Source organism: Homo sapiens, chromosome 10 (genome assembly GCF_000001405.40).
Source record: "Homo sapiens chromosome 10, GRCh38.p14 Primary Assembly".
In the NCBI taxonomy this organism is placed as follows: Eukaryota; Metazoa; Chordata; class Mammalia; order Primates; family Hominidae; genus Homo; species Homo sapiens.
The window spans coordinates 93115078-93128875 of record NC_000010.11 but is presented as its reverse complement, the minus strand read 5'-3'; the positions used below and the strand labels follow the sequence as shown (position 1 = coordinate 93128875).

The 13798-nt window shown below is 46.5% G+C and overlaps 4 annotated features.

Moving 5' to 3' along the window:
- Window positions 4802-4861: an enhancer, noted in NCBI's record as "active region_3785". NCBI's record gives its function as "activates an Ori minimal core promoter by ATAC-STARR-seq in GM12878 lymphoblastoid cells {active_cell/tissue: GM12878}" and the evidence as "EXISTENCE:reporter gene assay evidence [ECO:0000049][PMID:35858748]".
- Window positions 4952-5021: an enhancer, noted in NCBI's record as "active region_3784". NCBI's record gives its function as "activates an Ori minimal core promoter by ATAC-STARR-seq in GM12878 lymphoblastoid cells {active_cell/tissue: GM12878}" and the evidence as "EXISTENCE:reporter gene assay evidence [ECO:0000049][PMID:35858748]".
- Window positions 12770-13064: an enhancer, noted in NCBI's record as "tiled region #3565; K562 Activating DNase unmatched - State 12:CtcfO". NCBI's record gives its function as "activates a minimal TATA promoter and a strong SV40 promoter by Sharpr-MPRA in K562 cells {active_cell/tissue: K562}" and the evidence as "EXISTENCE:reporter gene assay evidence [ECO:0000049][PMID:27701403]".
- Window positions 13166-13235: an enhancer, noted in NCBI's record as "active region_3783". NCBI's record gives its function as "activates an Ori minimal core promoter by ATAC-STARR-seq in GM12878 lymphoblastoid cells {active_cell/tissue: GM12878}" and the evidence as "EXISTENCE:reporter gene assay evidence [ECO:0000049][PMID:35858748]".

Below are 13798 nucleotides of genomic sequence, written 5' to 3'. Positions count from 1 at the left end.
GCTACTTGCAATTTTCTATAATAAAAATTTAGAAGGAATAAAGGGAGGCAAGGAAAGGAGAGAAAGGAAAAGAAGGAAGGCCCCTTTTTTCTTTTCTTTTCTTTTCTTTTTTTTTTTTGAGACAGAGTTACGCTCTTGTTGCCCAGGCTGGGGTGCAATGGCACGATCTCGGCTCACTGCAACCTCCGCCTCCCGGGTTCAAGTGATTCTCCTGACTCAGCCTCCTGAGTAGCTGGGATTACAGGTATGCACCACCATGCCCAGCTGATTTTGTATTTTTAGTAGAGATGGGTTTTCTCCATGTTGGTCAGGCTGGTCTCAAACTCCTGACCTCAGGTGATCCACCTGCCTCGGCCTCCCAAAGTGCTGGGAGCCATCGCACCTGGCCGGAAGACCCTTTCTTTGGAGCCAGACTTGGATTCCCATCTTGGCTCTTCCATTTACCAGCTGTAAGGATCAAGGCGTAGCTGGACAAGCCGCAGACAAAATCCCTCAGACACCAAGTTAAAGAAGGAAGGGCTTTATTCGGCCGGGAGCTTCAGCAAGACTCAGGTCTCCAAAAATGGAGCTCCCCGAGTGAGTAATTCCTGTCCCTTTTAAGGGCTTGCAACTCTAAGGGGGTCCGCGTGAGAGGGTCATGATCGATTGAGCAAGCAGGGGATACGTGACTGGGGGCTGCATGCACCGGTAATCAGAACAGAACAGAACAGAACAGGACAGGGATTTTCACAATGCTTTTCCATACAATGTCTGGAATCTATAGATAACATAACCGGTTAGGTCAGGGGTTGATCTTTAACTAGGCCCAGGGTGCGGCGCCGGGCTGACTGCCTGTGGATTTCATTTCTGCCTTTAATTTTTACTTCTTCTTTCTTTGGAGGCAGAAACTGGGCATAAGACAATATGAGGGGTAGTCTCCTCCCTTAAAGGTTACTATTTATCTTCAGTTTCCTTCACTGCAATGGTACTAAAAATACTACTTGTCTCCTAGAGAGGTTGTGAGAATCAAATGAAGTCATATACGCAAAGTGTGTCTGGTAAATTGTATGCAATAAAGGGTAACTGTTATTGTTAAGATCAAATGTTAAACATACTGCCCTCATATCCAAGTAAAATTGGTGCCAGAAAAATTACACTTTAGGCCAGGCGCAGTGGCTCTCGCATGTAATCCCAGTGCTTTGGGAGGCCCAGGCAGGTGGATCACATGAGCTCAGGAGTTCAAGACCAGCCTGAGCAACATGGCAAAACCTTGTCTCTAAAAAAAATACAAAAACTAGCCAGGTATGGTGGTGCATGCATGTAGTCCCAGCTACTTGGGAGGGTGAAGCATGAAAATCACTTGCACTCAGGAGGTGGAGGTCGCAGTGAGCTGAAATAGCACCACTGAACTCCAGCCTGGGTGATAGAGCCAGACCTTGTCTCAAAAACACAAAATTACACTTTAATAAAAATAATAACTAAGATTGTGGAGTGCTGTTTTACCTGTAATAACTGTCCTCCTCTCCTCCCTATTCATTGATTTTTTTCCATCCTCATACTCAAAGTGAAACCTCTTTAAACAAAACTTAAAAATTTTAGTAAATGGTAACATAATAAATGACAAAAACTAATAAAAATAATTTTTTAAATAAAGCTAAATAAGTTTATCTCATCTTATATGACCAAATTTGGAAAATAATGGTAAATGTGCTCTAATTCTTAGAACAAGCAATAAATGAATTAGTTTCAGGGGTTTTGGTGCAATTTTCTGCCAACATTACATGACAGTACAATAGCAATACCTTCACTTCAGGTTTTATTCTATAGCATGATCATAAAAATAGTCATTTTCACAAAAATATTACAAGATATCACCCATTTCCTGAAGCCTTTCCTATTCAAGTCATTCTGTTTTGAAGCATCCTGCTGCCATTCTTTTCTTCAATTGGTAGTGGACTAATTTAGTGATATCCACATTTTCAATAGCTTTTTCAGAAACCATAGGACTTTTCCAACATCACCCTTTAGAATGTTTCATGAAATCCTGTATTCTTGCATGATTTTTTTGATGTGTTGTTAGCTTGGAAAAATGTCGATGTTAAGTCAGGTGGAAGGAAACAGAGCTATTCAAAGGTGTACTAATTTTATAACGTGTTAGTTATTCAGGAATTCTGCATCCCTAAGCAACCTACCAATTGTTGGAACTGGAATACAAGGCACAACCAAGCTGTATTGTGCCAGTGCTGCCCCCTGGTGACAGATATGAAGAACTGGTCCTCCCTTCACTTCTTTCTCCTGGAGAGGCTCCCCACCCAGGCTGTGTTCTCCCTTTTTTCCTGCCACCACTTCCCCTTCTATAACCAGAACCAGGATTTGTCTTTCATATGAAACCTCTGACTATTTTCTTTCTTTTCTTTTGCTCACAAACCTCTGAAAACTCTTCCTCTTACCTGCCTCCAACTTCACTCTCCATCTAGGTCGCAAAAACAACCTCAACAGAAGCTGATGAACATCAGGCTAGCTCCAGGAGTTCGCCTGTCTGTGTCACAGAACAGAAAAGCCATATGTTCAAAGTGAAGTTAGAATGAAAAGCATTGCTATCAACCTGGGGGGTCCTGGAAGGTGCCCAGAAGTTCTCTTCAGAACTCTGTGCCTCTTTCTTAACCTTTAAGAAAAACTTTCTCAAATACCAGCATTCATAATCAGTCACAAACAATTTCTTTGTTAATCTTTTTATTGCTGCTCTGACAGGGAAGAAACCTTTGTCCAGGTCATAGGGGTGGCCCTCCTAAGAGACTGTGCTGGAACTGTTGGGGCCCTCTTAAATGAAGGCAGCCATCTTTCCCCCCTCCAGATTGCTTCTTGGCATCCCAGTCTGCTGTGCTCTCCAGACTGCAGAGGACCCAGCGCTTACTGGCCTCCCACTCATATCCATGTTGGTTTCTCCCATCATTTGTCCTTCTCTCCTTCCTATTCATTGACTTTTCCACTCCCCAGCATAGCTGCGTCCTGGATTCAAGTTCTGGCAATACCATTTACTAGGTGTGTGTGATCACGGCATGCCACCCTTCTAGGCCTGATGTAGTTTGAATGTGTGTCCCCACCAAATCTCATGTTGTATTGTAATCCCCAATGTTGGAAGTGGGGCCTGGTGGGAGGTGTTTGGATGATGGGGGAAATCCCTCATGAATGGCTTGGGCCATCCCCTTGGTGATAGTGAGCTTTTGCTCTGAGTTCACATGAGATCTGGTCATTTAAAAGTGTATGCCATCTGCCCCCACTCTCTCTCTCGCTCCTGCTCTTGCCATATGACATGACTATTCCCCCTTCACCTTCTGCCACGATTGAGAGCTCTCTGAGGCTTCACGAGAAGCCAAGCAGATGTCAGCACCATGCTTCCTGTAAAGCCTGCAGGGCCATGAGCCCATTAAACCTCTTTTCTTTATAAATTACCCAGTCTTGGGTATTTCTTTATAGCAATGCAAGAGCGACCTAATACAAGGCTTCAGTGTTCCCATCTTTAAAATGAGAATAGCAACAGTACCAACTTCATAAGGTCACAGTGAGGGTTAAATACATTAAGAAAGAACAGGGGTGTGTGTTTGGTGGTGGAGGGGGCAGTGGTACTTGTGGTACTTAGCATCATGACTGGCACAGAGCTAGCACTCAATAAATGTTAGCCCTTGCTTTTTTAGTTCCTTTGTGTCTTACACCTAGGCTATCATGAACTTGCCAACGAACCCCGGGGGAATACTCCTTCCTTGGCTCTTCATGTGCCAGACTCATTTTCACTATTGCCAGAAGATGTGTTAAGGTAGCAGCAGAGAAGGCATGAACAGCACAGCCTTTGTGGGGGTAAGGAAACTGCAGGATTTTTCCTAAAGAAGATTTACTTTTCTTCTTCCCTATTTTCCAAGACTTGACAACCCCTTAGGTTCAGGAACTAGCAGAAGCAGTTTCACCTTGGAACACACTTTTATTTGTTACTTAAAGTAAAGGTAGACTTTTAAATTTCTTCCTTTGTTTATAAATAGGACATGATTATTGAAGAGAATTTAGAAAACCACAGAAAGTTTAAAGATGAAAAAAATCACCTGACTTCCTCCTTTCAGAGATAACCACTGATAACATTTCACAATCTCTTTTGCACACGTATATCTCTATGCTTGTTAAAAATAGACTCCTGGCTGGGCGTTGTGGCTCATGCTTGTAATCCCAGCACTTTAGGAGGCTCAGGCAGGTGGATTACTTGAGGTCAGGAATTCGAGACCAGCCTGACCAACATGGTGAAACCCCGTCTGTACTAAAAATACAAAATTAGCCAGGCATGGTGGCATGTACCTGTAGTCCCAACTACTTGGAAGGCTGAGGCAGGAGGATCACTTGAACCCAGGAGATGGAGGTTGCAGTGAGCCAAGATCATACCGTTGCACTCCGGCCTGGGCAACAGAGCAAGACTCTGTTTAAAAGAAAAAAAAAAAAAGATTTCTACCATTCTTCAGTTTTTGTTATACTTTCATGCTTTGCTTTATCACTTAACTTATATAGTGAACATTTCCCAGCATTCAATATTCATAAAAAATGACTGTACCGTAATTCATCATGTAAACGCACCATAAGTACTATATATTCTTCTATCATGTCTAATTTAAACAACCCTGGAATGAACACTTTATCAGAAATCTGTTGTCTTCAATTCTGAGTACTTCTTCAGTATTAATTTCTGGAGGGGGATTGCTGGGGTTAGAATGGATTACCCCACTTAATACTCTTTATACGTACTGCAAAACTTTTGCAGAAAGGTTGTACCAATTTACAATCCCATCGGCAAAGTCTGAGGGACCTAAAAGGCCCACCTCTAGTCTCTTGTCCTGGAGACACAGCCCATCAGCTTCTGAGTGGAGGTTGTGAAGGGCTGCTCACCAGAGCATTCAAGAGGGATTCACACTGCTTCCTGTTGCTTATTTTCAAGAGAACTTCAGGTGTATTAAAGAGGTGTCATACTTCAAATGACTCCTGTGATCTGACACTGCATTAAATTTCTCCACCGTTTTTTGTTTTTAAAGACAGGGTCTCGCTCCATCACCCAGGCCGGAGGGCAGTGGTGTAATCATAGCTCACTGTAACCTTGAACTCTTGGGTTCAAGTGATCCTGCCACCTTAGCCTCCTGAGTAGCTGGGACTACAGGCACGTGCCACCACACACAGCTAATTTTTTATTTTTTATAGAGATGGCATCTCACTATACTGACCAGGCTGGTCTCAAACTTCTGGACTCAAGTGATCCTCCCACCTCAGCCTCCCAAAGTGCTGGGATTACAGGCTTGAGCAACCGTACCCAGCCTCCACCCTCTTTTTAGTGAAACCCCCAAGGCCCTAGCACTAAAAGTGGTCGGCATGTGGAACAGCCTGAAACCCACCATCACTACCTCATTATTAGCTAACGCAGCCCCTCATGTGTTACCTGCAAACATTAATCACAAAAGTAGTTGCTTTTTACTCATTTATTTCTCATCTGTGTTCCTCACTATAATATATGTTCCACAAGGGACCACATTGTCTTATTCATCACTGTAAGCCCAGCACCTGGCCCTCTGCCCAGTATAGAGCAGATGCTCCATCAATATTTGTCGAATAATCAAATGATTCGTCTTTGTCCCTCAAAAAGCTACCTATATCACATGTGCCCCCAAGTTTACAAGAGTTTGGGGCTCACTGCAACCTCCGCCTTCCAGGTTCAAGCGATTCTCCCACCTCAGCCTCCCAAGTAGCTAGGACTACAGGCACGTGCCACCACATGCAGCTGATTTTTGTATTTTTAGTAGAGACAGGGTTTCACCATCTCTACATTACATCAGATGTAAATGTTTAATAGTAACTTAAGATATGGCCAGTTATTATATTGCCAAGCAGGATGTAAGTTTCACAGCTGGCATAGTCATTTTGTCAACAAAATCCACTGTTACTCACAATCTTCCCTATTTAGGAAGTCACTGCGAGGAGACCCCCAGCATGAGGCAATAGCTTCACAGCCATTCACTGGAGCATGTCACTGGGTTGGAGTTTGGGGCCAGCTTAGAACTCACATATTGGCCAAAGTAACACCTCTGGGATTCCAATTCTAGAGGAATATTTTAACCTGTCCAGTTGGAACCAGTTGAACTGTTCACACCCCTGTGTGGCCAGTGCAAGCTATTGAGAGAATGGATCACTGTCACTTTAAGTTTGAAGTGCCCAAATTAAATATATTTTCATGAGGGATGAGTGTATTTTCATGATGTACGTACAGTGTAGGCACCAAACTACCCAGGCTTGACTCTCAGCCTCTCTCTTACTAGTTATATGACTCTGGGTAAATTCGTTAAGCTTGCTGTGCCTCAGTTTCCTCATCTGGAAAACAGGCATACTAACCTTGTCTACCTCATATTGTTTTCAGAAGGATTCATGGACTAATACATGTAAAACACTTACATTGGTCCTCGCACAGAGGAAGGACAAATGAATATTCACCATGGTCATTACTGCTGTCCCCTGGCCATCATCCTTCCTCATGATATCACCTTCAACCCCTCCGTCCCCGGCCCTGCTCTTGCTCCTGCTCTTCCTTCTCACCTCTCAGACTGTGGTCATTCAACAATAAAGACCTATTGGACCAGCTGGATGCCAGAGACTGTGCTAAGTGCAAAGGACACAGTTTGCCCCTTCTTCTTAGAGTCCAGTACACGAAACAGACAAGAAGTCAGGCAGTTTCAAGGCAGTACGCTAAGAGCTAGGGTGTTGGTAGGCGTGGCCTGCCATGGGGACATCTGCCCCCCATGTGGCCAGAGAGGTCTTCCTGAACAGAGAAACCTGGCAGGTGAGCAGAAATGAGACAGCTGAGGGGGTGAAGAAGAGAATTCCAGAAAGAGGGAAGAGTACACAGAGGGGCCTGGAGGCAGCTCTAGACCAGCTCAGGGAATTCAAAAGAGCTCATTCTGACTGGAAAAGGAGTGAGGGAAGGTGGACGGCGTGGGGAGTTCTGAGGGGTGATGATGTTGAGCCCAGCAAGGCCAGATTATTAAGGAGTCTGAGGCCTTAACACAATCTCCCAGGTCTCCCTGTTCCAATGGGGAACACCCAAAGGATGTTGAATAGGGGAGTGATATGATTGTTTTTCCATTTCAAAACCGTTCTGGCTGCAATCTGCAGACTACATCACATGGGGTTAAGAATGGAGCCATGGAGACCAGTCAGGAGGCGTTGGATCTAGGCAGGATGGTGGCCTGATCCAGGATGTCAGCGGGAACTGGGGATGGAGAAGAACAGACAGGTCCGTGAGCTATTAGGAGGAGATGTGAGGCTGACTTGATGATGGACTAGATAGTGAGCAGTGGAGCCCTGACCCTGTCCCAGGTCCTGAGCTCTGGCACTTGGATCCTGTGATGCCACCAAGCCTGTCTTCCTATCTGCAGCCTCACCTGCCCCCAAATGCCTCTTGCCTGGCAGCCTGGCATTCTGCTTCCTTGAATACAATCCTAAACTGGTCCCCTCTGATCCCACCAGGATTGCTCATCATTGGCTTGGGCACCTCTATGCTCACCTGGGAACACAGTGGCTCCCCACCTCCCTTTTCATTCAAACACCTGACCCACCCATTGCTCCCTCCACCTGGATGTGTCTTCCCTGCTCTTCAGGACCTAGATCCTTCTCATCCTCTGCTGAACAATCGCCTCCTCAAAGCAGGCTTCCCTGGGCTCCCCCACTATGCTCTTCCTTGGAACACTGACGATTTGTCTGTGTTTGTGGAGTTTCTGCAGTTTCTGCCTGTCCCCTGCATCCCCCATAACATATACCCTTTGAATGTCAGTCCAGCAGGACACTGCTGCCTTGCTTTCCGTCGTCTCCCAGGCATCTAGTGCTATGCCTGACATGCGCTGCTGCTCCACACATCATTGTGGAATGAGTAATGAGTGAAGGAAGCACACTGTGTCCCCGACCATCAGTCAGAGCAGCTCCTTTCATAGTCCAACCTTGCCTGCCTCTCAAGCTTCATCTCCAACCTCACCCCTACACACATACACTGTGCGCACACACACACACACACACACACACACACACACATGCTTCAGGCTCTATGACGCCAATCTGCCTACAATTCCCCACTGCCAAACCTTTGCACACATGGGTTCCCTCACAGCCCTCCCATCAACCCAGTCCACCCCTATGGATCCTCCAAACCCCAGCTCAGACATGACCTTTCAGGAAGCCTTTCCTCACCAACCATCACAACTAAGTTACTCTCGTCTCTCCCTCCGCTCCCTCTGTACCCCATCATTATTGCACCTGGAGGTCACCATGAATTTGAACTCTCTGCACGTGTCTCCTAGTAGACTTGAGAGTAGATCCAATCTTTCGACTCTGGAACCACAGACCCCTCAGGGCTTCTGGGAGAATCATGCACTGTTACCAGGGTTACATTGCCCCCTCCTCTCTCTTCAGAAAGACCTGCCCACCCTCTCAAGGCCCTCATGCCAGCAGCTTTCTGCTCTCAGACACAGAGCTGACTGATTTCTCCAGCCTTGCCCTTGTCCTTCTACAGCCAGGTACAAGAGGCAAATTACAATTCTGCTTCCTCCCCTTTCATCCCCAATATTTTCTTTTTTTTTTTTTTTTTCTTTTCAAGATGGAGTCTCACTCTGTCACCCAGTCTGGAGTGCAATGGCGTGGTCTCGGCTCACTGCAACCTCCACCTCCCAGGTTTGAGCGATTCTCCTGCTTCAGCCTCCCGAGTAGCTCAGACTATAGGTGCATGCCACCACACCCGGCTAATTTTTGTATTTTTAGTAGAGATGAGGTTTCACTATGTTGGCCAGGCTGGTCTTGAACTCCTGACCTCGTGATCTGCCCACCTCAGCCTCCCAAAGTGCTGGGATTATAGGCGTGAGCCACCATGCCCAGCATCATCCCCAATATTTTCATAGAAATAAAAGTAAATGCAGGCCTGGCACAGTGCCTCATGCCTGTAATCCCAGCATTTTGGGAGACCAAGGTGGGTAGATCATTTGAGGTCAAGAATTTGAGACCAGCCTGGCCAACATGGTGAAACCTCATCTCTACTAAAAATACAAAAATTAGCTAGGTGTGGTGGCGCACGCCTGTAGTCCCAGCTACACAGGAGGCTGAGGCAGAAGAATTGTTTGAACCTGGGAGGCAGAGGTTGCAGTGGCCCAAGATTGTGCCACTGCACTCCAGCCTGGGTGACAGAGCAAGACCCCCATCTCAAAACAAAAAAATTAAATGCACAGATGGACATCCAAAACCAGAAATCAATAATGATGGCTTCTTCTGGAAGGCGAGGAACAGAAACATGGGGTCTGAGGAGGGAAGGAGACTTCACTCAACTTCCTTTGTCTCCTTTTAACCAGGAGAATGCATTAGTGCTTATTGCATTGTAATTGTAATAACAAAGTAGTTACTAAGCCAGAAATACATGAAGGGCAGAAATCCTTAAGAAGGAAGAGGTACCAGGTCAGGGCTTCGGGGAGCATGCAGAGGGGATGGGGCCACCCAGGCTGGGAAGAGGCTGCATTTGCACATCTGCCTCCTCTTCTGACCCGCCCTTCTCCACCCCAGCAGGAGGTGAACAAGCAGAGACCTCCCCACCCACAGCCAAAAAAAAAAAGTGAGCCATCAACTGCATCTTCCTGACCCAAGAGTTACAGATGGGGCAGGAGGAAAAGCTTACACACCCATAAATAACGTGTCCTGGGGACTTACTATTCCAGCACCTGGGCTCCAGGACTGCCTCAAGGAAGGGCTCAGTGAAGTATGTGCCTTTATAGGCCTTCCATGGATGCAGAAGTGCAAACAGCTATCCACACACCATACAAGGCACCCATGATGGAAACACATGCCAGGTACAGATGTGGGTGGAGAAGAGGGTAAAGCCTTTTTATCTTTTTTTTTTTATTCTTTTGAGATGAAGTCTCGCTCTTGTCCCCCAGGCTGGAGTGCAATGGTGTGATCTCGGCTCACTGCAACCTCCGCTTCCTGGGTTCAAGTGATTCTCCTGCCTCAGCCTCCCGAGTAGCTGGGATTACAGGTGCCCGCCACCACACCTGGCTAATTTTTTTTTGCATTTTTAGTAGAGATGGGGTTTCACCATATTGGCCAGGCTGGTCTCGAACTCCTGACCTCAGGTGATCCACCCACCTTGGCCTCCCAAAGTGTTGGGATTACAGGTATGAGCCACCGCGCCCAGCCGGGTAAAGCCCTTTTTTTCCTGACTGCAGCATCAACTGGCCCACCTCTGCCCACCAAGGACCCAGAGCCAGGAAGGCTCAGTTCGTGGCTACCTGAGGGCTCCAGGACACGCAGTACATTCATCAGGGCAGTGAGTCTAGTGACCACTTGGCAATCGGTACCACCCCTCCTCCCAGGAGAAAGTGGCTTCATTGTCCCAGGAGTAAGGGAGAAAAGAAATCCCTTCATGGGTTAGAAAGCAGGTTGCTTTTCTCCCCCTCTCTCCTTTATGAATCTAGTTGTTGAACCTACCTTTGGCTGTTATGTCTCTCCATAATTATGCACAAGGCAAGAGAAAGCAACAACTGTAACTTGAGACTCAGCAATTCAGTTTAACCACCCCAAATAACTGACAGCGCGGGTATAAAACATCCCGCAACAATGCTGGCCCAATGGCTATTACGGTGATTTACTCTGGACCACATGAAGTTCAGCGGCCGGGGAAGACGGCAGAGCCTTAAACAGGCTTTCATGCCTGTGTCGTAAATTCAGATGATTGCTTCAAAGGTGGTGCCAAAGTGCTGGTAACCCAAAGTCAAGGGGCCTAGGTTTTGTTTTCCAGGGCAAAGGGACACCATCAATGATGGGAGAGTTCTGCAGAGGTGACCCAGGGATGGGTTCCCCGCCACGTCTTCCCTAGCTTTGTCTCTTTGGTCTAGAAGAAGAGGCATAAAAGGTGTCAGCGGCCCCAGTGCTCGGTAAATCACTGGGTGTGAATCAGTGGGGCTGGGTGACGGCCTTAGGGGGTCCTTTCTCCTGGAGGCCAAGCCCAGAAGGCCCCATACTCGGTGACCCCATCAATGGGTCATCAGGCCTTGCTCAGTTACAGAAGAGACTTCTTCCAGGGTTAGAAAGAGGTGATGGGAGAAGAGTCCTCAATTCCCACAAAGAAATAGCCTCAACCCACTGTTTGGGTGGGAATTAAAGGAAAACGTGACATGCTGATACTGACCACTTAATAATCTCTAACATTTAATGAGCTTGGGCTTTATGCAAGGATTAGTGCTACTGGGGAAAAAAAAAGATTTTGTTTCAGAGCCAAAAAGACCAATGAGAAAAAGAAGTATATATATTATATTTGAGACAAACATTAGTCATTCATCAACAACTGCTACCATCTATTAAGAAAACACTTTACCCCAATATTTACCTGGAAAGGGAAATATTATAACTGCCATTTTGCAGGAAACAGAGGTTAAGAAACTGATTCACAATCTTACCGGTAGTTACACCTAGGTATATGAGTGCTCTTTTATATGACATTGGTATATTTATTTCATATTTTAAATTTAGAATTGGAAGTCCTTTACACTTAGTGATTAGGTATTTTGAAACATAAAGAACAACTGTGTTGCAGGATACGATGGCACATGCCTGTAATCTCAACACCTTAGGAGGCCAAGGCGGGAGGATGGCTTGAGCCCAGGAGTTTGAGATCAGCCTGGGCAACACAGACAGACCCCCCCATCTCAGAAAACAAAACAAAACAAACAACAACAGAAGAATTGTTTTAACTATTTTTAAGCATTTCTGGAAAAGAAATGTCTTTATTTTATTGGATGTAGTAGAGAAACCATTTGGCACAACAACAGCCATCCCTAGCATGTTTCATAAGTTGGAAGAGTTGAGAAACAGTCCATGACCCAGGAAGACCCAGAGGTTCGGGAGACCTGGGGTCTGATCCCACCCTGACACTCACTTGCTGTGTTACCTGAGTCAAGCCCTTCCTCTTTTTGGGCCTTGGTTCATCTTCGATGGTAAGGAGGCCGATTTCTCAGGTTCCCTCCATCCCAGCCCTAAAGCTTGGGATATAATTGGTGCACTCTGGGGGCAGGCTGCTACCTGGACACCCCATCCTGAGTGATACGAAACAGAATTTTCCTAGAGGAGTGGAACCAAGAGGGTTACATTGTTCAGGGACCTTTGTGCATCTCTTGCCTCACTGTGCTTGTAGAGCTAGATTTGTGCTGTCTTCAGGCCCTACAAGAGTCTTGGCTTTTATGTAGCAGAAGCTTCTGTCACGAACACCACCATAATGGCCTGGTCCAGGGATGGCAAATGGGTTTTCCCTCGTTTGCACAATGGTAGTCAGGGTCCAGTCAGGGGACAGAAATCACACCAGCGATTTTAATAGTCAGCCTTGAACATGAGGAATTGTTAGCTAGGTATCCAAAACGGCATAAATGGAACTCTAGGGTATCATGGAGATGGCAACTATGGAAAGCAGCTCCACCCACACAGCCAGAGCCCAAAGGGAAGTATTGAAACATGGAAGGTTGGAAAAGGCAAAATTCAGACCTCTGAGGAAGAGGCTGGCAGGCTGGTGCCACTGTCTTTGAGGGGCACAAGGAGGGTGGTGTCACAAATTTTTGAAAAACTACAAACTGGCTCAGCTTTTACCACAAGAAGAAACTGCTGTTGTCTGGAAGGACAAGCATTGCCTGGGTGATGTGCACAGAAACCACAAGCAGATAGGAAGGAGGGATGCCGCTCCTCCTCTTCCTCCTCCTCCCCCTCCTCCTCCTCCCCCTCCTCTTCCTCCCCCTCCCCCTCCCCCTCCTCCTCCCCCTCCTCCCCCTCCTCCTCCTCCTCCTGCCTGGTTGCTTTCCTCTAGCTCCCCCTGGTGGGCAGAGTCACAGCCCCAATATCACAAAGCGGGTATGGAAGGGTGAGTTTGGAGCTGAGAAGCATGCTTGGGCTGACCACCTGGCCCAGCCACCTTCTTTGGGTTTGGTTGTAGCTTCCTGGAGTGCAGCATTGAGGCTTATGGGGCCTCTTCATGTTGTGATAACTTGGTGATGTCAGCCATAAGCCCAGAAAAGAGAAGTGGTGGCATGAATGCCACATATTAGCCCTTTCTCTGGTGACTAAATTACCCACCACAGTGAGCGGGAGAGGTGAGCGCCACTTCCTGACTTCTAAGGGCATTGACAGCTGAGCCACAGAGCCAAGATGATGATCAACAGATTCCTTCCCCTTCACCTCCCTATCCAGCTCTCACTTACCTAATGTCCACAATTAGGTCATGTCCAGAATCCAAAAGTAAAACATAAACCCTTTACCCAGTGATTTCCTAGGAAATGTGGACTAGAGCAAGAAGGATGGTTGAAAAAGAGGCATGCCCCTGGCCACCACCCTCTCACAGCCAAAGATATTCTTCTCCTAAGACCCTGGAAGGGCAAGAGTGAGGAATGGGAACAGACCCAGACAGTAGCATGAACCAAGCACTCCCCAGGAATTCAGCCCAGAGAAGAGTCAGTCAGAAAGCTGGCAAGGCTTTAGATTCAGACAGCCATGGGTTCAAGTGTCAGGTCAGCCACTTTCCTTATGTTTATAATTAAGAAACATACCACCCCTGTCCCTAAATTAGGTGGACAAGAAACATAGATTTGTGTATGTTTTTTTTTTTAATTTCAACTTCATTTCTATTTTGCTGATAAGAAATAATAATTCTAGTCTTTTCCGCGGGGGTTTCAGGAGGATTTCAGTGGTGTGGCAGAGCTGGCTCGTATGGTTCACAGGAGCAGATTGCATGCTC